Genomic DNA, 26,583 nt, shown 5'->3' with positions numbered 1-26,583 from the left:
GCTCTCTCTCTCTTCTTGTCTGCTGCCATGTGAGACATGCCTTTCACCTTCTACCAGGATTGTGAGGCCTCCCCAGACACATGGAACTGTAAGTCCAATAAATCTCATTCTTTTATAAATTGCCCAGTCTCGGGTATGTCTTCATCAGCAGTGTGAAAATGGACTAATACACTATCTGTAGCTGATTTTAAAAATTTTGTTATTTATTATTATTACACCCAGGCTGGAGTGCAGTGGCTCAAGCATAGCTCACTGTAGCCTCAATCTCCTGGGCTTGAGCCATCCTCCTGTCTCAGCCTCCCCAGCAGTTGGGATCACAGGTATGTGCCACTATGCCCCACTAATTTATTTTTTGTGGAGATGGGGTCTCACTTTGTTGCCCACGCTGGTGTAAATCTTCAGTTTCCTAAATTCCCAGTACATTTCTTTCATCTCTGAGGTTCGACATGCAGCACCTGAGAGAAGCTGCAATATTATGAGAGTTGTTTTTTCAAACTGGTGGGGTTTGTTTTGTTTTGGGCCTGCAAAAGCCTTACGTCCCAGTGACATCTTGTGGAGAAGCAAATATAAAAAGCAGAAATCCAGATCCCTGTGCGAAGGGGAGTCATGGGGGCAGAGAGCCTAAAGCGCTGTGCAGGCCTCTGATGGCCCAGTGTGGGGCAGCCACACTCCTGAGGATAGAATTGGCCAGTGTGGGCCCTCAATGGGTGCTGGAACTGCCTGGGACCTCTTGGCCCAGAGCAAACCTGCTGCGTGCCGGCACACCTAGGCTGATGCTAAAAACACCAGGCTCACCCAGCTACTGCCCTGGATGGACATCTAGGGTGGCCCTGGTGCCCTCCTAAGCCCTCCCAGGCTCCAGAGTTACAGGCAGGGGTCCTTACAAAGGAGGTACAGGACAAAGTGATAAGCACATCCCCTAAAGGGTAAGGCCCCCATCGGAACACGAGGAGCATGGAGCTTACCCGAGGAGTAGGAGCTGGTCCAGCCGAGGGGGCTGGCACCCCAGGTGGAGGAGGGCTTGGGATTGGTTAACCCTGGAGGTGGCCTCGTGGGTGCAGTACTGTTTCTGGGCACCTTCCATAGTTCATGAGACAGAGAGGCTTGCGTGTGGGAGGTAGGGCCAGAGGACCACGTCGATTTGATGTCTGACAGTTTACCTAGAAAGGCAGAGAGATGGAGCATATGCAGTCTTGAGACAAAGAAGAAAACTCACTGCTGTGTTTGGGGAGCCACACAGAGTGCTCTCTAACACCAGCAGACTGTGTGATAGGCAAAGAAACACCAAGTCAAGCCCCTGGCAAACTCAAGTAACCACAAATTCCCAGAAGTGTTTTGCCTCTAAGTTTTCAAAACCTTGCAGAGCCCTTGTCTTGTGGCCATGGGGGAAAGGAAGAGAGAAGGCAGTGGGCCCACACACTTGTATGGAGAAGACGTTACCACTTCCATGTGCGTGCAAGCTGATGTGCCCAGCGTGCCCACTGTGCCTGGGCAAGGCCCCCACCCATCCTTCATCACGCCACACGGCCTCCCAGCTCAGGGAGTGAGTAAAGAGCCAATAGGAAAAGCTGGGGCCTGTCAAAGTTTTGTTTGGGAAAAGAAAGAAAATGCTACCTGCAAGTCTAGAGGCCAGGCGCGTACCTGCAACACTAGGTGCGGATGCAATGCTGCTGAAAGAGCTACTGTAGCCGGAGGCACTGAGTGGCCAGGCACTCGAAGAAGGCAGCGTGGCATTCTGAGATGATGGCGGGGAGGACCCTGCAGAACCAAACACGGCACTGAGCAAGGTGGTGGCGGTGTCCGGGTTCATGACTCTAACTGTGGGGTGTGAGAACCATCAGGAATCAACCTCTCCCTAGGCTGCCATTTTTAATAGAAGCCTGAACATGAAAGTGACATGTGGGAAAGAAGAAACGGGGCATGCCTCCTACTCTGGGTCCCTGTACCCACTCAGGGAGGCCTGGGATGTTGCTGAAGGCAGAGGAATCAAAGGGCAAGAAGCAGCATGAGCTTCTTTGAGAATTCCCGCCAGAATGCTTAAAATACCATGTTTTAAGAGTTTTAAAGGACCACACTGATTTCCTCTCCCAAATAAGGTAAAATAAAAATCCAGGGCAATCTACATCCTTTCACAGTTCAAACAATGGCCACAAAATGGAAGAACAAAACTCCAAGCCTTTTATTACAAAATTTGCCATAAAAATTTGAGTATTTCTTCTGACTGGGGTGTCCCATCAGCTTACACTCATATTTTGCTTAAAAAAAATTTTTTTTTAAGAGATGGGGCTGTTGCAATGTCACCCAGGCTGCAGCACAGTGGCTGTTCACAGGCATGATCACAGTGCACAGCAGCCTCAACCTCCTGGGCTCAGTGATCCTCTTGCCTCAGCCTCCGGAGTCACAGGGACCACAGGTGCATGCCACCACACCCGGCTCATGATTCCCTTTTTAAATACAGGAATAATTAAGAGACATCTGTCCTAATAACTGTGTATATGGACTTGAGTTATTCTATCCCTAGGACTGTAGTTTTTTGAGGAAAGCTTGTCCCTGTGCCTGAAAGGGAGACTTAGGATAAATGGGCCATCCTTAAGGCACCTCAATCCCTTGTGTAAAAGCTCAGCTCCTCGCTGCTTGGTTTTATTTCATATTTTCTAATGTGGCTCTCCCTTTCAATTCTGTGAAGAAAGCAAGAAGCTGGAGAAGAAGAGCGAGGATGGAATAATGGTGACAGTTGGGGTGAACACAGGATGGAAAGAGCTCTAATTGGGACAATGACTCTGCCAGTGCACGTATCCTGGCTAGCAGAGGGAACATGAGCACAGTCTGGCTGCTAAACTGATGACCATAAACAGAATCGGACGGTTTCTGAAAAGCCATGGCATCTCAGCCGTAGGCCCACATGGCGTTGTGCAGTGAATAACCAGGTGTGTGGCACCTCCTGGACACGTGCAGTGTCCAACCTGCACAGCTGTTTGCAGCTGCCCTGCTGCAAGGGACCTCTTTAGAATGAGGGCACCAGAGCTGAGGCAAGTTAACATTTATGGGTAATCTGCAGGTCTTCACTTTTATTTTTTCCAATTTTTATTTTGGGTTCAGGGAGTCCATGTGCAGGTTTGTCACACAGGTGAACTGTGCGTCGTGGGGGTGTGGTGTAGAGATCATTCCATCACCTAGGTAGTGAGCACAGTACCCCACAGGCAGTTTCTGAATCCTCTCCTTCCTCCCACCCTCTACCATACAGCAGGCCCCGGTGTCTGCTGCTCCCTTCTTTGTGTTGTGTGAACTCGGTGTTGGGCTCCCGTTTGTAAGTGGGAACGTGTGAGCTGTCTGTTCTCTGTTCCTGTGTTAATTCCCTCAAGAAGGTCTTTACTTTAAAAGGGTGTCAGCTCGGCCGTGCGCACTGGCTCACGCATGTAATCCCAGCGCTTTGGGAGGCCTTTTCTTTTTTTGAGACGAAGTCTTGCTCTGTCACCCAGGCTGGAGTGCAGTGGCCCAATCACAGCTCACTGCAGCCTTGACCTCCCAAGGTCAAGTGATTCTCCTGTCTCAGCCTCCTGAGTAGCTGGGACCACTGACGTGTGCCACCACACGCAGCTAATTTTTTCATTTTTAATTTTTTGTAGAGCCAGGGTCTCATTATATTGCCCAGGCTGGTTTCAAATTCCTGGCCTCAAGTGATTCTCCCACGTTGGCCACCCAAAGTGCTGGGATTACAGGTGTAAGCCACTGTGCTCGGCCTGCTAGTGCTTTCTGGTTAGCAATTTCTACGTGAAGAGATGTTCATTGTACTCCCCTTTCTTTCAATAACAAACCCTAATGTATCCCTAAACACAACCAAGAGAGGTACCAGAGTGGAGCAACAAGGTTCCTCGTGCTGGTCACGAGCTGAAGGGGAGGCCTGGCATGAGCCACATGAACTGGCTACTGCTGAATACTGATGTCTGTGTACAAGTGCCAGGGCAGGCTCAAGACCCAAACGTCGAGCACCCGGGAAGTCAAACGATGTTCACTTGGAGCTACAAGTCACCCCGGTTGGCAGGTTGGCTGGCTGGCTGGTTCTTAGGCTCAGGGCTGGAGATGCCATTTCCTTGCCTTATCTCAAAGGCCAATGCATTTCCTAGGCTTAGGTTCTCTTCTGCCCTCCCCGCAAGTTGATCTCCTTAACTGGGCAGGCTATGGAGCTGGAGGACAGCTGCATGTGGAGCTTGAGGACAGCTGTCACGTGTTTCTCGGGCCATCTTCTTCACACCATGGCACACTCAGGCGATGGCTGAGGCCACTCCCAGTGGCCCTGGTTCTGCCTGGAGGCTAAGGGGCTACCTGATGCTTCATCTGGGCACCACTCGGGAAGCTCTGCCATGCAACTTCGATTCTTTCCAACTTCCCTTATGACTTGGATCTGTACAACCTGCATCCCACTTCTCCACATCCCTCAAAATATGCTAATTTTCCTGTCTGGCACAACCCTGGTGCCCCACCAGGTGTGACAAGCGGGGAGGGCTGGGTCTCTGATTCTGGCTGGCGCCTCACCTGTCCTCTGCCATCTTACACGGCTCCTTTTCCTGCACCACTTGGCTGTGTCTGACAGCAGGGACACCCGTAACATCCCTGTTCCGAAACGCAGCTGCATCCAAAAAGCAGCTGTGTAACCCCAAGGAATACACAGCATTAAACAGAAAGGGCAATCTGTACTTATGTTGGCTTTCCAGCCAAACCACAGGCACATTTAGAAGCCTATCACTTTAAAGAACCACAGAAGCAGCCAGGCACACTGGCTCACGCCTGTAATCCCAGCACTTTGGGAGGCCAAAGCAGGCGGATCACTTGAGGTCAGGAGTTCGAGATCAGCCTGGCAAACATGGTGAAACCCCATCTCTACTAAAAATAGAAAAAATTAGCTGGGTGTGGTGGTGCACGCCTGTAGTCCCAGCTAATCGGGAGGCTGAGGCATGAGAATCACTTGAGCCTGCGAGGCGGAGGTTGCAGTGAGCCAAGATCACGCCACTATACTCCAGCCTGGGCAAGAGAGCGAGAATCTGTCTCAAAAAAAAAAAAAAAAGAAACAAAAGAAGCAAACACAAAACACATGGCTCCAATGAGTCATATTTCAAGTGGGAAATTCAATGTTTTGGGAACTATCTAGGTGGCCTTATTAGTGATAGTACCTATGGCAATCTAGCTCTTCCTTCCACAAAATAGCATGCTGTGATAAAACTTTATCAGAGATGGCACTTCTATGATAAGACATTACTTATCAATAAATCCAGCAGCATGGGCGACACCTGAGGTCAGGAGTTCGAGACCAGCCTGGCCAACATGGCAAAACCCTGTCTCTACTAAAAATACAAAAATTAGCTTGGTATGGTGGCACACATGCCTGTAATTCCAGCTACTTGGGAGGCTGAGGCAGGAGAGTCGCTTGAACCCAGAAGGTGGAGATTGCAGAGAGCTGAGATCATGCCACTGCACTCCATCCTGGGCGACAGAGTGAGACTTCATCGCAAAAAAAAAAAAAAAGTAATAATAATAAAAAATCCAGCAGAAACTCAAATTGATTTCCATTTCTCCATAAGCACTACCTGCTGTCTTTTCATGCTGCTTCAGGTGACTAGAAAAGGTGCCCGCCAACTGTGCCTTGTATCATCCCTGCCTCACAGCCCAACCTGTCACCCCTGACATCTCCAAATGGGTCTAGAGAGACCGTCCATGCAGAGGCAGGAAGAGCAGCACCCTCACCTCCACTCTTGAGGAGGTAGCGGTTGACATCCTGGATGGTGGTGTTGATGGTAGGCCCAGTGGGGACACTGCCAGGAGTGACGTCAGGGTCATTCTCAGGGTCAATATTCTGCAGTCCTTTCCATGGAACTCCCGGATGGAATTCTGTTTAAGAAACCAAAATGAGAAGCCACAGATCAGAACACCGGCACATTGATTCACGAAATTTTAAAAGATGTTTTGTCCTGTTTGTAGAAATTTTTATAATCTGCTAATTAAATTAGAGGTACACCTTATACTCTCTTTCATTAAAGCAATCAATCCTTTGGAACAAACTAGAACCAGGTATCACAGCTATCATATTAAGCTAGTTTTCACACAGGGTTGGAATAGTTTTACCGGATAGTGTGCAGTGTGCTTCCTCCCTGCCACCCCTTCCACTCCTCATGCTGAACTAAGGGTTTACAGAAAAATGCCTGATGCTAACCATACCCAAAATTGATCTGACAAATGGATTTCCAAGGAAAATGCCAAAGCTCTGGGCTTAACGCTTCCAGATCCTTAGCTCAGATTCTGGGTCCTCTCAGCCTAATCACTCTCTGCAGGCTTGGAGCACATTCTGACCTGCTGCTGTTGCACAGAAGTGTTGCATGGTCTTACCTGGGGGCCAGTTGATGCTAGAGCCATTTGAGATTTTATCACTGTCAGATTTGGCACGTGACCAGCTATGGGGAACAGCTACGGGAGGACTGGCTGGTGACTCACTGTTCTGGATTAAATCGTACCGGCCATAGGAGTCATCAATGGAGGACTTACCTGGAGGCCCAATGCTTAGACCTCCAGGGATAGCACCTATGGGGACAATAGGAAACAAAGAAGCGAGTGAATACTCTCCAGTTGAGAGACACCAGAAGATACCCTAAGCCTCCCTATGTACCTTCTGTTCTAGGTCCAATGCCTTGCCCTATTCAGTTACATGAATTGTAAGACTTGGTCTGTCTAGGATTCTGTAAGAATCAATGACTTTATTTATTTATTTATTTATTTTTTTGAGACAACTTCTCACTCTGTGGCCCAGGCTGGAGTGTAGTGATGTGATCAGGGCTCAACCTCCTGGGCTCAAGCGATCCTCCCACCTTGGCCTCCCAAGTAGCTGGAACTACAGGTGTGAGCCACCATGCCTGGCCAGTGACTGTTTCAGTTAGCTACAATTTCAGCCCTGAAAGATTGAAACCCTTGAAGAACAATTTCAGTTTGTCCAGTAAGAAGTCTTTACAAAATACATATCCATACCATGGGAAGCTGCCCTTAATAAATCTTTTTGGGGACAACTTATGAGTCTTTGTGATTAGCTATCAAATTTGCTGTTATCTCTTCCCTCCTTTTAGTCTGAAACCCTCACTACGGAAGAACACAGTGGATGTTAAAAATTCATACAGAACCAAACCAACCAGCTACAGGCAGCAGAGCCCTCCTGCTAAGAAAGGTGCCAGCAGTGTGTGATGATTTTCCGTAAGTTAACCATGAGACATAGTTTCCTTTTTCTTTTTAGAATGCTTCCTATCAAGAGAGAACTACGTAACCTACTGAATTTCCTTTGCTGTTTATTCTACCAGGAAGTTCAGAGTTAAATTTAATGCTTGAGAGTGAGATTACCTCCTATGGTTATCATTTTTGCTTCCACCTTACTCGTGTGTCCATCAGTAAAGAGTTCCCGATGGGGACACCAGTTTGGAGTAAGACAGACTGCTTGGATGGAGGGGAATAACCAACAGAAATGCACCCTAGTATTTACAGCTGCAGTTCCCATACATACTGTATATTTGATTTTCTATTTATGTTTTACCATTTTATTGAAAACATTTCAGCAGACTCAAGTTTTTGTTGATGAATATAGATACATAAAAAAAGTACACAGGCTATGACCTAGATTCTTTGCTGCTCTGGGGTTTTCAAATTATTTCTAAGTTTGTAGCTAAGATCTAATGGTTGGGTTTTAAGAAGTTTGATCAGTGACTAGCTGAGATCTTATATGCACTATAATGGAATGGGTTATTTTAAATCCAACTTTCAGTGCTCAATTCTTAGAAAAGTATAGAATGGCCATGCTATACAACAGGACGATCGATTAATAAGCCAGCAGTGATCCCACCACAGGCATCCTAGCTCAGACGTACCATGCTTGCTAGGGTTCTGCTCCAGGGGGGAAGCGGCACTGGGCAAGTTATCCATGGAGTTGGGGTGCGTCCACTGGGGGAGGCGTGACTGGGACTGGGATGGGTCCTTCACCGACAAGCCACCGGTCATGTCCATGCTGTTGACATTCATGTTTGGGTTCAGTCCAGCTAAAGAGAGAGATGCGGTTAGGATTCGCCTGCTCCTCTAAATGACTTCATTCTAAAGCTCTCCTATAGAAGCTATTTCAGTCTTCGCTTACAGCAAATTTTTTTTTTTTTTTGAGACGGAGTCTTGCTCTTGATGCCCAGGCTGGAGTGCAATGGCACAATCTTGGCTCATTGCAACCTCCGCCTCCCAGGTTCAAGCGATTCTCCTGCCTCAGCCTCCCAAGTAGCTGGGATACAGCAAAATATTTTAACTATAACTTTTAGTGCTGGTGAAAAAATACTACTTATCGTCATAACAACATGTATTTCTAGGAATATTATTCCTAAATTAAGGTGAAAATGTGAATAGTCTTTGATTAAGTAAGGCCCACAATTCTCTTCATTTTACTTGTTTCAGTGCTGAATAAACATGGTCCTGAGGCTTCTCAGAGTCCACAGGAAAATAGAAAAAGTCCAAACTATTAGGAAAATCTTTCTTTGTTTTGGGATATCTTACGGAAACTCATCAGGTCAAAAACACTTTTCCAGAACTCTAAAGTACCACCTATGAAACAGACTGATAGGATAATTCAGTTCTACCTTTAGTGAGTTTCCTTTACAAAAGTCTGCTCTGAAAGAGTCTGTGAATTAAGTATCAAACTACTTTTAAGGAACTGAACTATTTGACAGCGGGGGTGCTGCCATCTGCCCCCAGCTGGGATGGTGAGCTGAGGCTTCTGGGCTCATTCCTTATAGCTAAAAGCAGGTACCTGGTTATTTGTCCAGGACCTGCACTAAGCTAGGTTAATAAAGAAAGATGATGAGGAGGACAATGAAAAGAAGGTTGAAGTAAAGAGTTTCTGATGAGGACACTAGTTTGGAGCAGGACAGACTGCTTGTTTGGAAGGGAATAACCAGCACAAGCGCCCCCCTCCCCTTGTATTTCCAGCTGCAGTTCCCCTTACCACATACACATACCCCATAGGTCCTTACCGTAAGTACTACGCCACACGGTACGTAAGCACAGTGAGCCTCTACTACTTAGCCAGGTGCTGAACATTCTGGTTCTTACCTTTATTTCAGAGGCTGCAAATTCAAATGCCCATAGGAGCCAGGTGGGCCATGCACATGAAGAAGTGGGCTTCATGGGGACTGTGGCAAACCAGAGAGTGTCTGTCCTGTCTAAATAAACAGGTGCTACTGGGGCCAACCACCTATTGCTACCTGGAACATAGACCCACTATAGCCATTTTTAAGAGAAGCCAGAAGCCACTTTCCCCAATTTTTGAATGTTGGCATTAACACACACCTATGCACATGCACACACACACTTCGCAGACCTAACAAAACGCCTTTGCAAGCCCATCAGTGCCACAGGGCTGCCTACTTGCAATCTCTGCTGTGTGGGTTCTTTTCGTTTCAGCTTGTACAGATCTAGCCAGGTAAGGTGGCAACAATGTCAGGGCTTCAACCTGGCCTTCAGAATGCTCCAAATTTCACAATTTGGCGCCAACCCATCTCTCCCAACTTTCCCCTCTGGGAAAGTCAGCTAGACTGGCCTGGCCCTTGCAAAATGGGCCCCTGAAACAAGCCAGGCCTCTTTCTTCTGTGCTACGTGAGGCTTCCCCTTTATTTGGAAAGGCTTCCTCTTTATTTACTGTAATCCTATCCAATCATTTGAGGTTCAAGCTTAATCCTACTCTCTGATTTTTCTTTCACCACTCAAAGTGAAAGTGAACTTTTCCTTCTCTAGAGCCCTGTAAGAATCACATGACACTGGTATCAAGGTTATTTTTTCCCATTTATATGCCTGCTCTTCCTATCTAGATGGCGAACTCCAGGTGGCAAAAGACTGAGAATAACAACGACAGGCTGAACATGAGGGAAGGAAGGTAGCTAGGAGCCCCCACTACTGACCATGGGCTGCTGGTTTCTTTACATGAATTGATGAGTGTCTAACAGGCTCTTCAACATAGGTGCTGCTGCAGAGAAATGCTGAGAGCCAACAAGATAGGCAATTTTACAACCAAAGTTTCCTAGACTTTATTAGTTATTTGCTTTTAATACATTTATAACTTTACTGTGAATATTATAAAATATTATCCAAATTATTTTTCAACTAATTTCAAAGATTCACTGCATGAATTCTTTAACTTGTACTAAGAGAAAAAATCCTTAAGAGTAAAGATAAGTGGTCGGGCACGGTGGCTCACGCCTGTAATCCCAACACTTTGGGAGGCTTAGGTGAGCGGATCACTTGAGGTCAGGAGTTTGAGACCAGCCTGGCCAACATGGTGAAACCCAGTCTCTACTAAAAATACAAAAATTAGCCAGGCGTGGTGATGCATGCCTGTAATCCCATCAATTTGGGAGGCTGAGGCAGGAGAATTGCTTGAATCCAGAAGGTGGAGGTTGCAGTGAGCCGAGACTGCGCCATCGCACTCCAGCCTGGGCAACAGAGCAAGACTCTATCTCAAAAAAAAAAAAAAAAAAAAAAAAAAGTAACGATAAGTGTACTTTATCCTCCAAATATAGGTTAAGAAGACAGGTGAATAATAGAAAGCTGAAGCTAATGCATTTTAGGATAATAGGTGGGATGAAATTTGTTTCTAAAACAGAAGCACTTACATAAGTAGCTGACATTTTACAAAGTGTTTGCTATGTGCTAGGCACTATTTAAGAACTTTACATATTAGGCCAGGTGTGATGGCTCATGCCTGTAATCACAGCACTTTGGGAAGCTGAGACCAGCAGGATCACTTAAGGCCAGGAGTTTGAGGCTGCAATGAGCTATGATCACGCCACTGCACTCCAGCCAAAAAAAAAAAGAGAGAGAAAAAAAAAAGAAAAAAGAGAACTTTACATATTAGCTCATTTAATCTTTAAAACAAACCTAGGAGTTAAGTATTTCCACATTACAGATGAAGAAATTAAGGCATGGCTCAGTATGGTGTCTCAGGCCTGTAATCCTAACACTTAGGGAGGATCACTTGAGGCCAGGAGTTTTGAGACTTGCCTGGGCAACATAGAAAGACCCTGTCTCTACCAAAAAAAAAAGAAAGAAAAATAAAGAAATTGAAGCAAACAGCAGCTAGGCAAGTTGCCCAAGTTAGTAGTGAGCCTCTTGGTGGTGAGTTGGGACTCAAACCTAGGGAGTCTAATTCCTAAGTCAGGTCTTACCTACTTCGACACAAAGGGCTCTAATGGATGAGACAATAATTAAGGAACGAGATCATCTAGTCTAGTATTTATCAATCTCATATTAAAGATATACCACATTTATAATATGTCAAGTAAAAAGGATTCATATGATTACAATATACCGCTCTTTTCAGAGACATTGAATAGAATTAGATAAATGAATATTATCTGCTGGCAGCAAATTCACTACCACTCAACTGGCCTTTGCCCCTTTACAGATGTATTTTCCAAGTTACCGATAACCCTTTGTCCTGTATCTACAGACTCTAATAGCAATCAACAGACAAGCCTAAAGTGCTTTCACTAACTTCTGAATTCTTACGGCAAATTAGTCCATGCAGAATCAATTTACTAATTTATACCCTCTGGTGTCTTCAGGTATGTGAGCTGTGTCTCTCCTGACTGGCCTGACCTCGAGGCCTGGCACCATGTCTTCTACTGACCTGCGGGTTTCAAGTGCTGAGTGTGCTTCTACAAGTTAGATTTCAACATATATATGTTGATTTGGTCGATTATACAAATCACATTTCATACAAAATGAGTTGTATCAACAACCACTGCTTTTTAAGAAGTGCTTTTAATGTAAATCTGAATACTTTTACTGACCAAACCATTATAAAGTCTTCTCTGTGGTTTAGGCTGGAGGACAGTGGCTGGTAAAGTACAGTTCAGAGTAGACTAGGAACAGAACAAACTTTGGAGATTTGACAATGGAAATGAGATTTTGGGGGCTCTGACTGGTACTACCTTTAAAGGTTTTATACTGAGAGTATTATTGGCAGCGGCAAAACTCCTGCTCTATACAACGTGGTTAGTGTTGTTCCCTTATTACAAATCCTTGAGGCTGGGCATGGTGGCTCACACCTATAAACCCAGCACTTTAAGAGGCTGAGGTGGGAGGATTGCTTGAGCCCAGGAGTTCAAGACCAGCCTGAGCAACATGGTGAGACCCCCATCTCTCAAAAAAATAATTAAAAAATTTTTTTAAAATTAAAAAGCCTTGAGATACCTGCTCTCCGATTTTGTCTGGGGCTGCATTTCCAACAGGCTATGGTTTCAGCGCTGGCCAGTCCTCCTAACCACTGAAATGCTGCCCTGGCTACCACATACGGACTCCAGGTACCCTCTCTACCTGATGTGGCTGTTGAAGACCATGGGACACTCACCGAGAGGGTAAGGAGCAAAGGTGTTGGGTGAAGACTGCTGCTCTTTGGTCTGCAGGTCAGGTAGGCCGGGAGTCTGTGGGTGCGAGGGGAAGCTGTCCATGGCCGATTTGCCTGCAGAGGGGTGCAGAGACAGGTGCGGCGGGGGCGGTGGCGGTGGTGGCTGCTTCACGAGCAGGGCCTGGGCCAGCTGGCGCTGGTGCTGCTGGATCTGCTGCTGCAGATTAGTGATTGTGCGCGCAACCTGGCAGGCAGAGACATAGGTGCGTTAACTAGGTGGGAAGGGACACTCATGGCTTGTCTAGGGACCAAATGCATTCTTCATTGTCTTTATGCTGAGGCCACTACTGGCTAGGCCAACCTCCTCCCAAACCTAGCTGAACCCAGGAATTTTCAAAGGAAGGCTTGGCTAGAGAAAAATCAATGATCATCTAATAGTTCATCAATTAGCGTCTCTTCTATCAGGGAAAATTATAGCTCATGACAAAAATCAATCTGGGTAGCACCTACTTGCTGCTCCTGTTGTCTCATGGATCCGGACACATTACGCTGGGCCTGTAACATCTGCTGCTGGATTTGTAAACGTTGGTATGCCTGTTGACAGAACGAAGAGTTAAAATAGTATGATAATTAAGTGTAAGTTGAACTAATGGTTCAACTTTCTGACATTAGTTAAAAAATAAAAAAAGAGAACCTAGCCACTCTTCTTGGCCCATACTGTGGCTGACACATACTGTTTTTTTTTTTTTTTTTTTTTTTTTTTTTTTTAGATGGAGTCTCGCTCTGTCATCCAGGCTGGAGTGTAATGGCGTGATCTCAGCTCACTGCCACCTCTGCCTCCCGGGTTCAAGCAATTCTCCTGCCTCAGCCTCCCGAGTAGCTGGGATTGCAGTCGTGTGCCACCACGCCCAGCTAATTTTTGTATTTTTAGTAGAGACGGGGTTTCATTATGTTGGCCAGGCTGGTCTCAAACTACTGACTTCGTGATCTGCCTGCCTCAGCCTCCCAAAGTGCTGGGATTACAGGCATGAGCCACGGCGCCCAGCCATGGCTGACACATATTCTGGAGGCACAGAGCACTTTTAAAAGATTAATGTCTTATCCACTTTTTTAGTGCGCAGAACTAAAAAAAATCACAGAGTCAATACCTGTTTAGTGTTGGTGATGATGTTGGTCAGCAAATATTTTTCATTTAATGAAGAAATCAAAATTCTTCTGCTTGATTCATACAAACTGAAACTTAAAAAAAAAAAACAAAAAACCAACCTATTCTATAATGATGGAGACTGAAGTCCAGGACAGCCCAGACAATGTGAAACACTGGTAGTAACTGTCCCAAATCATTCAATAATAATGTGTGTTAAACAACGTGGTTATCTCCCTAACATCATGGGAATGAAAGCTAAGAGAGAACCTGAAATGCAGATTTGTGGGCACTTTTGTCACACAAACTTGTCATCTACAAAGTTGGTTAAAGTTATGATGATATTCTTCTGTACACTGACATAGAAGCTTTGGTCATTTGACTGTTTTGAAATGTTGGTTGAATATCATGATTTTTTTTCTTACAACATGAATTTTAGGGACATTTTTGGCAAGACTCATCAAAGTAGAATCCAAATAAAGGTGGAGATTATACTATTAGAAATGCCTCCTTCATCTGTAATCATGGAGGAATAAAATACCCCACTTAAGTGAATCCTTATAGGCCTAAAACTTAACCTTATGGAAGCACTGAAACTTTATTTTTCCAATTTTTCTGGAAAAAAATTTAAGAACAGAATACATTGTTTTAAAATTAGAACACCCTATTGGTAATTCAACATTTTCTTGATGTCTTTCACACTATAGAGGTCAATAAAAACTTACTGTATAACTAAAAGATTCTAGCACATCAGTAAGATAATCAGCTCTGTGTCAGGGCTGCAGCAATGCCTGCAGCGTCATCTAGTGGCAGAAAGCGATCTTCCTCTACAGTAACAGCTCTAAACCTGCATGCTTTTTCTATGAGTGCCTGTTTTCAGAGCTGTCTCCTTTCCTTTGGAGGTCAGTGGTCTCCGGCGGGCAGGACTGAAAGCAATAGGACTGCACATGTGCACTGCCTCCCCACAGCGATTCCTCACTACAGCACCACCTCCCTTCTGACAGATGGAAAAACAGTCTCTGGCCAGGCGCAGTGGCTCACGCCTGTAATCCCAGCACTTTGGGAGTCTGAGGCGGGAGGATCACCTGAGGTAAGGAGTTGGAGACCAGCAGCCTGACCAACATGGTGAAACCCTGTCTCTACTAAAAATACAAAAATTAGCTGGGCGTGGTGGCGGGCGCCTGTAATCCCAGCTACTCGGGAGGCTGAGACAGGAGAATTGCTTGAACCCACAAGGCAGAGGCTGCAGTGAGCCATGATCGTGCCACTGCACTCCAGCCTGGGCAACAGAGCAAGACTAGCAAGACGCCGTCTCAAAAAAAAAAAAAAAAGAAAAAGAAAAAGAAAAAACAGTCTCTGAGGGCCAAGCCTTGGTCCTGACCTCATGTCTAGAGCTCTGTGCTTTCCATTAAAGCGAGGACACATAGCATGTGTCTCTGGGACACGTCCTTCCCTCCTTCCTTCTATCCTCCCCTGCTGCTTACAGAAAAGCAGACCTCAAACTTGTTGGACATGTGTCTAAAAAACAGCAAAGGGGAAAGACTGAGGGCTGAGGTACTCTCTCATTAGCAAAGGTTTTATGCCAATGGTTCTGTCTTTTGGAGTTCCCATTCTTTTTTTTTTTTTTTTCTCCTTCATGATTCCTGGTCATGATTTTCTTTTTTTTTTTTCTTGAGACGGAGTCTTGCTCTGTCGCCCAGGCTGGAGTGCAAAGGTGCGAGGCTCACTGCAACCTCCGCCTTCCAGGTTCAAGCGATTCTCCTGCCTCAGCCTCCCGAATAGCTGGGATTACAGACATGCGCCATCATGCCCGGCTAATTTTTGTATTTTTAGTAGAGACGGGGTTTCACCATGTTGGCCAGACTAATCTCGAACTCCTGACCTCAGGTGATCCACCCGCCTGGGCCTCCCAAAATGCTGGGATTATAGGCATGAGCCACCGTGCCCGGCCGATTCCTGGTCATTTTCTAGGTGATGAAGTTGCTGGCTAAGATTGCTAAATAAATCAGATACCCACATTAAAGAATGAAATAATTAACTGGGTCTTTTAGTGTATATAATTTCAGTAAGCATCTAGGTATACAATGACATGGCAATTATAGTAAAATCAGTAAGACTGATTGAAAATTAAAAAAAAATCAAGATTATGTGAAGCTACAAAACTTTCAAGAATTATTAGGTCACATCAGCCATTCTTGACCGGGGTTTCATGAGAGAATTAAGTTCTAATGCTCTAAGGCATCTACTATATGTAATAAAGCAATTTTTCTCCTGTGCTTCTAGAATAGTATTTATGTATACCATCCTTAGAATAACTGAGAAAATAGTCACTCAAATGATTTTTTGTGTTCTGTGGTTCTCAGAAACTCTGGCTGAGAGCTCAACTGAAAAGACATGCCTAATTATAAAATCTGGTAGATTGGTAGATTTTCTGAACACAAAGAGGCCAAGCCATGTGCAGTGGTGCACACCCGTGGTGTCTCAGCTACTCAGGTGGCTGAGGTGGGAGGATCCCTTGAGTCCAGGAGTTCCAGACCAGCCTGGCAACATAGTAAGATGCTGCCTCTAAACAAAAACAAAAACAAAGAGGCCAAAACATTTACAAAACCTAGTAGGACACCTTTGAGTGAGAACTCCCTAACTCATGAAGAGTTTAAATACTTCATGAGAGTCTCAATGACATCCCTGACGTGAAGACAAACATTATCACAACTGCTGCTCTCAGCAGGTGCCGTGCATCTGCACTCGGCCTGCGTGCTCTAACTTGCATGGGTCTATCCACTCACCAGCTGCAGCTGATAGAGCTGGTTCAACATCGTCATATGTTGAGGATTAATTGGCGAGGTTAATAGTGCAGGGTTGAGACCAATGTTTTTTGCTGCAAACTGCAAAAGCTGTGCTTGAACCTGTTTAACATAAAATATACTATTAGCCGTTGTATCTCTGTTAAAATAGTTACTTGTACCTGTAGTTTTTCAAAATTCAAAAATGATTAAATGATAATTTGTAGGGAGACCCCCTGAAACTACTGCTATGGAATAAAAGATGAAATGCTCCTGATTATTGTAAATACAAAATTGCATGCAGGACTGTGTAAAGACAATGCAAGGTTGGGCTGCCAGAATGAGCCAACAGCGCGTGATGTGCTTCCCCCTGCAGAGAGCCTATAAATGGATGTGCAGTCAGGGAGGTTTCACATCACCAAGATTCCTATCCCAGAAAAGCAGATGTTCATAGCTCTGGGAATGGAATGCGACCCTTGGGGAGAGCCTATAAATGGATGCATGAGGGGCGCCTGTTCATATGGATAAGATAGGGTTACAAACGCCCTTATCTTGCCACAGCTCTTCTAGGTCTCTTTAGGGTTAAGGCATACTCCCTTCTGAGAATTTGTGGTCTAAACAGTTATCTAGTTTCATGTCCTGTTTCTATTGATTGTTTGCAACCAGCTTTTGCTGCAATTATTACTACTGATTAGTATCTTACTAAACACAGGTTATGGACAGACTGTGTTTCTGTTTTAAGGCTCTGTTAGAAACTGCTGATGCACACACTATATTGTAAATTCTTATCCCTGTATACTGTACTTCTGCATACCGATGTTATGTTAAAGAATTACTTCATCCCCATGTGATCATCTCACCTCATAATCAAACGACCCTAAATCCCTCACTAACCTACCCCTGCCCTCACTAAACTTAGTAATAAATGCCGGTATATCCAGTGCATTGGTGGCATCACAGGATCAGAAGGCGGTGACCCCCCGGACCCAGCTTTCACTATCTCGTGTGTGTCTTTTATTTCTCGACCTGCCAATCTGCCTGGGAACAAAGAAAGAGCCCTGTTGCACCGCAGGCTGCTGGCCAGATCCTGCAATAATAATTATATTTGTCTCATGGGTGAAATGTCAAAGGCCATTAAAAAATGTATGGACATTTTAACATTAGTAGTTAGCACGTAAAGAATAAGAAAGAAAGGAAAAAGAAAGGAGGGAAGGAAGAAGGAAAGTCTTCAGAGATCTCATCCTCCAAATATTTTAATTATAAATGAACTTTCCAAGGTTCTGTGTCCTTCCTATCAGTACTCACAGGTAACAGGGAGATACAGAAGAAACAGTGAGACGGCACACAGATGCCTTGCCATTTGGGACATGCTGGTTTGCTTTGTGTGGGGAAGACTAACTGCTTCTTCTGCTACTGCCTCTCAGACTGGGTGCAGCTGTGGCCTAGGTCTGGGCAGTGGGATGTGACTGGAAGTGGTGTGTACAATTTCAAGGCCACCGGCACAGTAGTGCTGCCTTTTCCCCTGTTCCTGGGAAGTGGCTATGGCAGAGTCACCCCCGATCCCTGCACTGCTTCTTTCTGCACTGTAACCTGAGAGAGATCAATGTCTACCTAGTTTAAGCTACTGTTTTTTGAGGCCTCTTTGTTATGGTGGCTTATCCTATATCCTAATGAATACATTTAACTATTATCTAATAACTTTTATTATTGCCTGATAATAGTTACATGTATTAGTTATATTGATAATTGTGCACTATCAACTCAGTGCACAAACCTGGGTTTGAACAATTACAGAGCGAGAATTACCCTCAATGCAGTGCCCAGTGCATCCTGCTCTTTTTCGTATGCTAGCATTGCCTTCCCATATGCTATGGTCTGAATGTCTGCGTCCCCCGAGAATTCCTATGTTGAAACCCAAACCCTAATTGTGGTGGTGTTAAGAGCGGAGGCCTTTGGGAGGTGATCAGGAGCCCCCATGAATTGGATCAGCACCCTAATGACAGAGGCCTGAGGAAGCCTGTTTGCCCCTTCCACCACATGAGGATGCATAAAAGTTGCCATCTATGAGAAACGGGCCCTCACCAGACACTGAATCTTCTGGCACCTTGATCTTGGACTTCTCAGCCTCCAGAACTGCAAGCAATACATTCATGCTGTTGTAAATGACCCAGTCTAAGGTATTTTGTTACAGCAGCCCAAATGGACTAAGACACCATATTCCAACAAACTAAACACATTTAAATTAAATTTTATGAATAATAGAAGATTGATGAATTAACACGTTCTCTTTTGGAACAGATTGAACATAAGATCCCTCAGAAATTTTAACTATCTTCTTGATATCAGAGGTCTCTTGGGGAAGAAAGCAGTTTTTTCCCTCTCTGCTAGAATGCTAGAATGTTGTAAGTACTTCAAGATGCTGCTGCTCTCTCAGGGCAGGGCTCCAGTCAACCTTCACACCAGAATTACGTATCAACTAGAGCCCTGAGTTACCCCACGCAGCAAAGATGTTATCAATACCATTGATTATCAAATATATTATAAGGGGTAAGAACTAACACTGTAATTAAAAACTTGGTCCAAAGCCTAAAATTGTAAAATGTGCTAAAAATAAACAATATTAACAAGAACAATTGATATATATTAGGCCTCAGAGCCATGCCAAACAGCAATATCCTTTTCCTTAATTCGATTTGACCTTTTTTCCTTTCTTTCTTTTTTTCAGAAGGAGTTTCCGCTCTTGTTGCCCAGGCTGGAGTGCAATGGTGTGATCTTGGCTCACCGCAATCTCCACCTCCCCGGGTCAAGCGATTCTCCTGCCTCAGCCTCCCAAGTAGCTGGGATCACAGGCATGCGCCACCACACCTGGCTAATTTTGTATTTTTAGTAGAGATGGGGTTTCGCCATATTGGCCAGGCTGGTCTCGAACTCCTGACCTCAGGTGATCCACCCACCTCGGCCTCCCAAAGTGCTGGGATTACAGGCGTGAGCCGCCGCGCCCGGCAACATTTTTTTCTTAACAATCTCTATGGTTCACTCCTGAAAAGGGATGAAAGAAAGAAAAAAAACCCAACTCTATTGGCAAAAATGATCTAATTCTGAATATTAAACATAACTGAAAATCTATAATATATACACTATTATATGAGATCACATTTAGTTTCTCATTAAAGCATGATTCAGTCCTTGGCTGCTTCTAAGGGTTTCTTTTACATCCTCAGCAATACTACAGCGTGTCACTTTCCTCTCCCACCAATCTAGGACAGTTCACTGGGTTCACCTGAATAATTTTCTCGACAAAGACTGGGACAAAAGCACATCAATGGGAGTGTGTTGGGCAGGTCCTTCCCCCTCAATATTGCTTCTGACCAGGAAGATGCCAAATGCTAGTTTCGGTGGCTGAGGCATTCCAAGGAGCAAGCTCTGAAAATGTCTCCTGGGTCAGGAGAATCCATTTACTACTTTATAGTCTAAAATTAATTTATAGGTTAAAAACCAGAAGGCCTTCTCTTAAACATGGATTAACTCCGCTCTCACTTTAAAATAGTGACTTCCAGATAACACAGGACCCCACGAAACACTGGCATCTATATCCTGTTGCTCAGTCCTGCTTGGATGTGGGTCTGACCTGAGGGGATAGAAACTGAGGCACTTGAGCACGGAGACTGGGCTGGGAAGAGTTAAGAGGCTGCACTGGTGGCTGTGGCGGCTGCTGCATGGTCCTGGCTTGTGCTGCTCCACTATTGCCAAACATACCCAGATTGCCACTCGGTATCTGCACAGGGACAGAATTAAACACGTTACCAAGGCAGGCATTAGAGTAACATTGTTTGGAGGTAGGGTGAAATGATCTATTTCAAGTGAATGCAAAATTGTTTCTACTTCCTACCACTGTCAACTTGTACCCAAGAGAATTTTTTTGAGACAGAGTCTTGTTCTGTCACCCAGACTGGAGTGCAGTAGCGCGGTCTTGGCTCACTGTAGCCTCTGCCTCCTGGGTCCAAGTGATTCTCCTGCCTCAGCCTCCCGAGTAGCTGGGATTACAGACCCCCGCCACTATGCCTGGCTTTTTTTTTTTTTAGATGGAGTTTTGCTCTGTCACCCAGGCTGGAATGCAGTAGTGCGATCTCAGCTCACTGCAACCTCTACCCCTGGGTTCAAGCAATTCTCTGTCTCAGTCTCCCGAGGAGCTGGGATTACCGTCGCCTGCCACCATACCCGGCTAAATTTTTTGTATTTTTAGTAGAGACGGGGTTTCACCATGTTGGCCAAGCTGGTCTTGAACTCCTGACCTTGTGATCCACCTGCCTCGGCCTCCCAAAGTGGTGGGATTACAGGTGTGAGCCACCCCGAATTTTTGTGTTTTTAGTAGAGACGGGGTTTTGCCATGTTGTCCTGGCTGGTCTCAAACTCCTGACCTCAGGGGATCCACTCACCTCAGCCTCCCAAAGTGCTAGGATTACAGGCGTGAGCCACCTCGTTCGGCCCCAAGTGAATTTTTAATGAGTGTCGTTTATACAACAAGAAGGCTACCCCATTCAAAGAAACTACCAGCATACAATGTTTCACACACAACAGCAACATGAATATGGTTATTTGAAAAATATACATTTCCAAAAGGATGTGATAAAAATTAAAGGGTAATAATGTGTGGTGATTACTAATCTGAGAGGATAGCAACATTTCAAACAGGAAATATAGTTATTATTTCAACAAACCTTGAAATGGAATGAACTGACAAATTCAGGTAGTTAATTTTGTGTTAACTATGATAAAGATATTGTAGCTGTAGTTTTCACTCTGTGTAATGAGTTACCTGACAAATAGGTGAGGTAAGGTATTGCACAGCTTCACTTGGGAACAGCCGCCTGAGAGGCACTGGGAGAGAACCCCTTCTGCAAAGCTAACAGCTGTGAACCTAACCCCAGTGCACACCCTAGCTGGGCTGCTGACTTGAAGCTGGCAGAACAATGGAAAACTGCACCACCACCAAGGGGGCAATGTCAGATCGCCAGGATCACACAGTCGGGCGCTGGTGAGTGGAAGGGGCACTATTGGTAACAACACTGGGACAATGTGCACACAGAGGCTGTTTGGCCACCCACACCTCACAGTGTCTACTTAGAGACATGTCTCCAAGCGGTGTGTGTGTGTGTGTCAACCTCATCCCTAAGAAAGTCAGAGAGAAGGGATGTCCTAGGGATGGGAAAGGATGATATGTTTTTTGGTACAACATTTCATGTTAAGAGTCTATATGAGAAAAGTGAGATGAAGTGGCAAACAACACTCTCAGGTCCTTCCTGTAGTTAACTGATTTAGAAAGATGATTTCCACCTGTACCCACAGACTTTTGAAGCCTGGAAAAAAATGCCAGTGTGACTCCTGAGAACCACCTTGCAAGAGATGTCATCTTTATTTCTGGGAAAAAGGGGGAGAATGTGGTGCTTTCTCGCAGATCAACAGATGTAACGTCGTTTTGGTTGCCATGAGGAAAGAGGGTGGGCACTACCTGGACCTCTGGATGCATCCGGCAGCCGAAGACCACTGTGCAACACATCATCACTTTAGCCAGTCCCAAGTTAGCACCAAGGGTGCTGAGAGCTCAAACACGTTTTAGTTAAGTGTAAGAATAAATATAACTAAAGCATTTCCTACTTCAACTCTTGACTCCAGTAAGTCACCTGAAGGGAAATCCTGGTAGTATTTCAACTACTTTTTCAGTCACATTTAAAAATAGAGGTATTAACTATAAATAAGTAAGTTTATGTCTCAAACACATTTTTTAGAAGGCAGGTAAAACAAAGGCCATGTTTTGCTCTCTCCAAACAGCCTTACCTGTCTAGAAGAATTCAAGTTTTGCATGCCCAGCCCGGAGGCAATCCCACCCAGGGCCTGACTGGGGAGTGCACTGTGTGAAAGGGGGAGCTTCAGGCTTGGGGAAGGCAAGAACGGTGAAGGCGTGGGCTCTTCCACGAGGCCGCCATCCTGATTGGAGAAAGAAAGGGTGAGCTGTGTGCAGTGTCCATCAGCAGACAAAGCACCAAACAGTTTCCCAAGGAAACAGAGGAGGCGTGGATGGATAAATAATTAACAGATCAAAAAAGTGTGGATAAGGGAATGGAGAACATGTGCAAAAGGAAGAGGGGAAAAAGAAAAAGAAATAGGATTAAGATGCTGTTTTCAGTTTAAAAGTATTTTACAAACACATATATTAGCTGCTACTATTCTCCTAACTATTGGCCCTGCCTCAGGTAGGAGCACGGAGGAAGGATGGCAACAAGCACTTTACAACCATTTTCAAATAAACAGATTCTTTTTGAGAAGTTATTACCAAAGCTCTAGGTGTACATTAGGTTGAATTCCATGACATTTGTTTTTGACCTACAAACACAGCAGTTTCATAGGGTGTAATCTAAGAAGAGGGTGAGTTATAGAACTAATAAAAGACAGAACCTTATTAATTTTTTTTTAACATCTACTGAGGTCATGCTGTGTGCCAGGTCTTTTGCAAATTTATGTCATCTAACATCACAACCAGCCTGTGCATTATTCCATATTTTAAATGTCAGGGTCCCAATTTAGGGTTGCCAGATTAGCAAATAAACATATGCGATGCTGAGTTACATTGGAATTTCAGATAACAGTAATTTTATCAGTTTAAACAGTATGATTTCACATTGGAATTTCAGATAACAGTAATTTTATCAGTTTAAACAGTATGATTTCAAAAATTATTTATCTGTAATTCCAATTTCACTGGGCATCCTGAGTTTGAACTCAGTCCCCACTGGCGAGGGGCAGGATGAAGACGTGAGCCTCACCCTGGGCTACCCCACAGCTGCAGCTGAGGCAGATCACGTGCTGGAGGACTCTCAAAATAAGATCAAGTCCCATCTCTGATATTCTTTGCTTGTGAGCCTTTCCTTTTTTTTTTTTCTTTTTCTTTTTTTTTTTGAGACAGAGTATCGCTCTCTCGTCCAGGCTGGAGTGCAATGGCACGATCTCAGCTTACTGCAACCTCCGCCTCCCGGGTTCAAGCAATTCTCCTGCCTCAGCCTCCCGAGTAGCTGGGTTCACAGGCGTGTGCCACCATGCTCGCTAATTCTTGTATTTTTAGTAGAGACGGGGTTTCACCATGTTGGCCAGGCTGGTCTCGATCTCCTGACCTCAGGTGATCCACCCACCTCAGCCTCCCAAAGTGCTGGGATTACAGGAGTGAGCCACCGCACCCAGCCTCCTTCCATTGTTGATCTTTTTTTTTTAATGTGTCCTTCCTTACTTCAATTTTATTTTCAAGGCTCGACATTTGCATTGAATTTAGTGCAATGCTTTTCTCCGCTTTGCAGTCACACCAGTCTGGCATGGGGACATCATTACATGACAACACTGGGGGCTGAGCTGTGACCGGACTGGCTAAACATTCAGGGCGTTTTCCACAGATGCCAGCTGTGGTCACTCATGTGGCCAACTGACAAGGGCCAGCCAGAGATGGGTGCCCAAGCCCCACCACTTCCAATCCCTTTTCCTGAGGATAAACATCTAACACGTAATTTCCAAAGGGAAGATCTGTGTTTTTAAAATGAGATAGTAAAATGGAAATTTGATGACCCTTGCCCATTGGACAAATTGAAGCAGATAACCAGCCAAGTTCACACAATAAATATGAAAATCAGTTTTCAATCCCAGTCTTTTTCATTCTCAGTAACATCTTATGAAATACGACATTCCCTTCTTTGAGTTAAATGTTCATAATGTTAGAAAAAAATGGATAAAAGTCACTTAAGTATTATAGTCCAGCAAGTTTTTAATCTGGCTTGTATTAAGGACACAGTTGAAATGAAAAACTCCTCTTGTTAAAAAAGCAAAAACAACAAACCACCTATATTCATACCTTGTCAAGAAAGGTGGGGCGGTCCACGGAAGACTCTTTGGAGATTGGCGGGCGGCAGCCGAGGGGCTTGGCGGCCATTCCATTATGGTCGGTCACTCCCAGCCCACGCTTGTCCACGTCCACCTTCTTTTCCAGCAGAGCGCCTGGAGCACAACAAACAGAAGCAATGTTGTAAACAAAACAAGTGAGTGCTGAGCACAAGATAGGCACCAGCTAAGGCCTCAAGGAGGGATGGAGACCCTCCACCCCTTCAAACACAGGGAAGCCAGGGGCAGAGAGAGCCCTTGCTTTGCTAGGGCTGAGCCCAACAAGGGGCTGCCAAGGATTCACGGCAAGGGGATGGGGGTTGGCCCCAGGCACCCTTCCGTGGCTCCTGCAGTCTGTGATCTGGCCCTGCCGCCCTCTATCCTCTCCGCAGCAGCCACACCAGCCACTGCTGGCCCTCAGGGGCTCAGCTTGTCCTCTCCCCTGGGATGCACCCCCTCCCCTAGTTTTCTGCAAGACTTGCTTCCTCATTTCGGGTGGGCTCAGTGGTTGCTTTCTTGCAGGGGCCTTCCCGATTATTCTGTCTGCAAAAGATCCTCTCCTACTTCATGGCCATGCCTCTCCATTCACCGAGTCCTGTATCTGCAAGTATTCTTCCAGATGTGGGGGATACAATACTGTGCAAAACAGACACTGTTTCTGTTCTCACGGCTCTGTTGGCTTAATGACTAGTGTGTGTTTGGCCCACCCTAACTCTGTCCTACTCCACAGTTAGAATTCACCTCTTGCAGCACACGCTGCTCTGTCCCGCCCTGGCAGTTTGCACCACACGTTGTCGCACGTGCACGATTAGACAGTCTGCAGTCTATCCTCATTATTCATGAATTCTGTACTTGTAAAGCTGGCCTACTTGCTAAAATTTGTAACCCCCAAATCAGTAATTGGGGCACTGTTTGTGGTTATTTGTGGACATGTGCAGATTGGCAAAAAAATGTGAGTTGCCCAAGTTCCCAGTTCAGGTTGAGCCTCAGATATCAGGTTGTAAAGAAGTGTCCTTTTTGTGGTCCATTTATTGCCAGGCTTTTCGTATTTCTGTGCTTTCTGTAGTGATTCTGGTGTTTAAAATGGTCCCCCTGTGTGGTGCTGAGGTGCTGTCTCATGTTTCTAAGCTCAAGAAGGCAGTAAAGCGCCTTACAGAGGAAATATGTGTCAAGTAAGCTTCATGTAGGCACGAGTTAAAGCACTGTTGGCCCTGAGTTCAATGATCATGAATCAATGATATGGTACATCCTAAAAAATTCACTGACCTGTATGTGCGGCTGCTCAGAAAGTACTCAAGTAACATCTGGGCATGTGACAGAGCTATGGAAAAGAGGCTAAATTTGTGGATTCATGAGATGATGACTAGGAAGTGTGGTGGACGGCATTGTTTTGAGTATGAAAGCCAAATAAATTTATGGTCACATTATCCAGGGTCAGAAAAATGTTACACCCTTCTTGGCTAATATATCAATATTAAATAAGGTGTCTTGAAACAGAAAAACATATAAAACAAGGTTATATATTGATTGGTTGACAAAAATGTTGTGAGCAGAGGCTCATAGGAACCCAACCCTGTATGTCTCCTAGGAGCACTGGTTCGGTATTCGTTAATTCAGTGTTTGTGGTGACTTTATAGAACATAACTACCAAGAAAATAAGAATCGACTATATTTAAATGTAAATATTTAACATTATTATTAAAGCAGCTCTAGAACTAGGGTTGCTTGTTCCTTGACAGAAAATCTTCTCTCTCAACAACAGTTGGTGCTCAGCCAGCAAGGCAACGCTTCTGGTGGCCCCTAGGCAAGTCCGTTCTGGGGCAAGGCACGAGGAACGCACTCAGTGTCCACTGAAGTCTAGTGTGTGGTTCCAGTGTCTCTCAGAGTGTCATTATTACCTTCCCTCAAAACATAACGGGAAAATATGAGAAAAGCCAACATGCTTCAAATATGGCATTGGCGATTCACCTCCAAAGTCCGCTAATCCCAAGAGGCTCCCTCTGTGGTTCCAGCTTGTTGTGTGGTTGCCCCTTCACTGTGGCCTGGTCCTGTCTACCCAGGACATATTAACCATTAAACCATGACTACAATCAAATGCTTCTGGAAAGTAAAACTTCACAGCTGGGTACCTTTTTAAAAAGGATGTTGTATGACTTACTCATGGCCTGATCAAGATTCATATTGTTACTCTTCAAGGCCTCCTCAGCTGGCTCTCTCTGTGTAGGAAAACAGAGTTTTCATTAGTGCACATTAATTAACAAAAGGAAAGGTTACAAACAATTTAATCACTATCAACTTAAAGACATAGTTATTAGGTTTTGGAACTGGAAATA

General features: G+C 44.9%; 1 protein-coding gene across 21 annotated transcripts in view; it reads right to left on the bottom strand.

Moving 5' to 3' along the window:
* TNRC6C (trinucleotide repeat containing adaptor 6C) overlaps positions 1 to 26,583 on the bottom strand; it is a 151,279-nt gene that overhangs the window by 9,333 nt on the left and 115,363 nt on the right. For 3 of the 21 annotated variants that reach the window (NM_001142640.2, XM_006721996.5, NM_001395508.1), the window contains 12 exons: positions 26,409 to 26,466; positions 24,225 to 24,367; positions 22,169 to 22,318; positions 19,962 to 20,108; positions 16,337 to 16,456; positions 12,917 to 13,000; positions 12,410 to 12,650; positions 7,896 to 8,063; positions 6,379 to 6,570; positions 5,740 to 5,883; positions 1,642 to 1,758; positions 966 to 1,160 (listed from right to left, as the gene is read on the bottom strand). In NM_001142640.2, the coding sequence (NP_001136112.2) occupies positions 966 to 1,160; positions 1,642 to 1,758; positions 5,740 to 5,883; positions 6,379 to 6,570; positions 7,896 to 8,063; positions 12,410 to 12,650; positions 12,917 to 13,000; positions 16,337 to 16,456; positions 19,962 to 20,108; positions 22,169 to 22,318; positions 24,225 to 24,367; positions 26,409 to 26,466 (1,759 nt within the window). Of the gene's footprint in view, positions 1 to 965; positions 1,161 to 1,641; positions 1,819 to 5,739; positions 5,884 to 6,378; positions 6,571 to 7,895; positions 8,064 to 12,409; positions 12,651 to 12,916; positions 13,001 to 16,336; positions 16,457 to 19,961; positions 20,109 to 22,168; positions 22,343 to 24,224; positions 24,368 to 26,408; positions 26,467 to 26,583 lie in introns of all 21 variants that reach the window. The other 18 variants (XM_047436496.1, XM_047436485.1, XM_047436486.1 and 15 more) reach the window with 9 other exon arrangements.

The sequence above is a fragment of the Homo sapiens genome, chromosome 17, assembly GCF_000001405.40.
Source record: "Homo sapiens chromosome 17, GRCh38.p14 Primary Assembly".
Taxonomy (NCBI): domain Eukaryota; kingdom Metazoa; phylum Chordata; class Mammalia; order Primates; family Hominidae; genus Homo; species Homo sapiens.
Note: the sequence above shows the minus strand (reverse complement) of the source record. Positions and strands in the feature narration are given on the sequence as shown.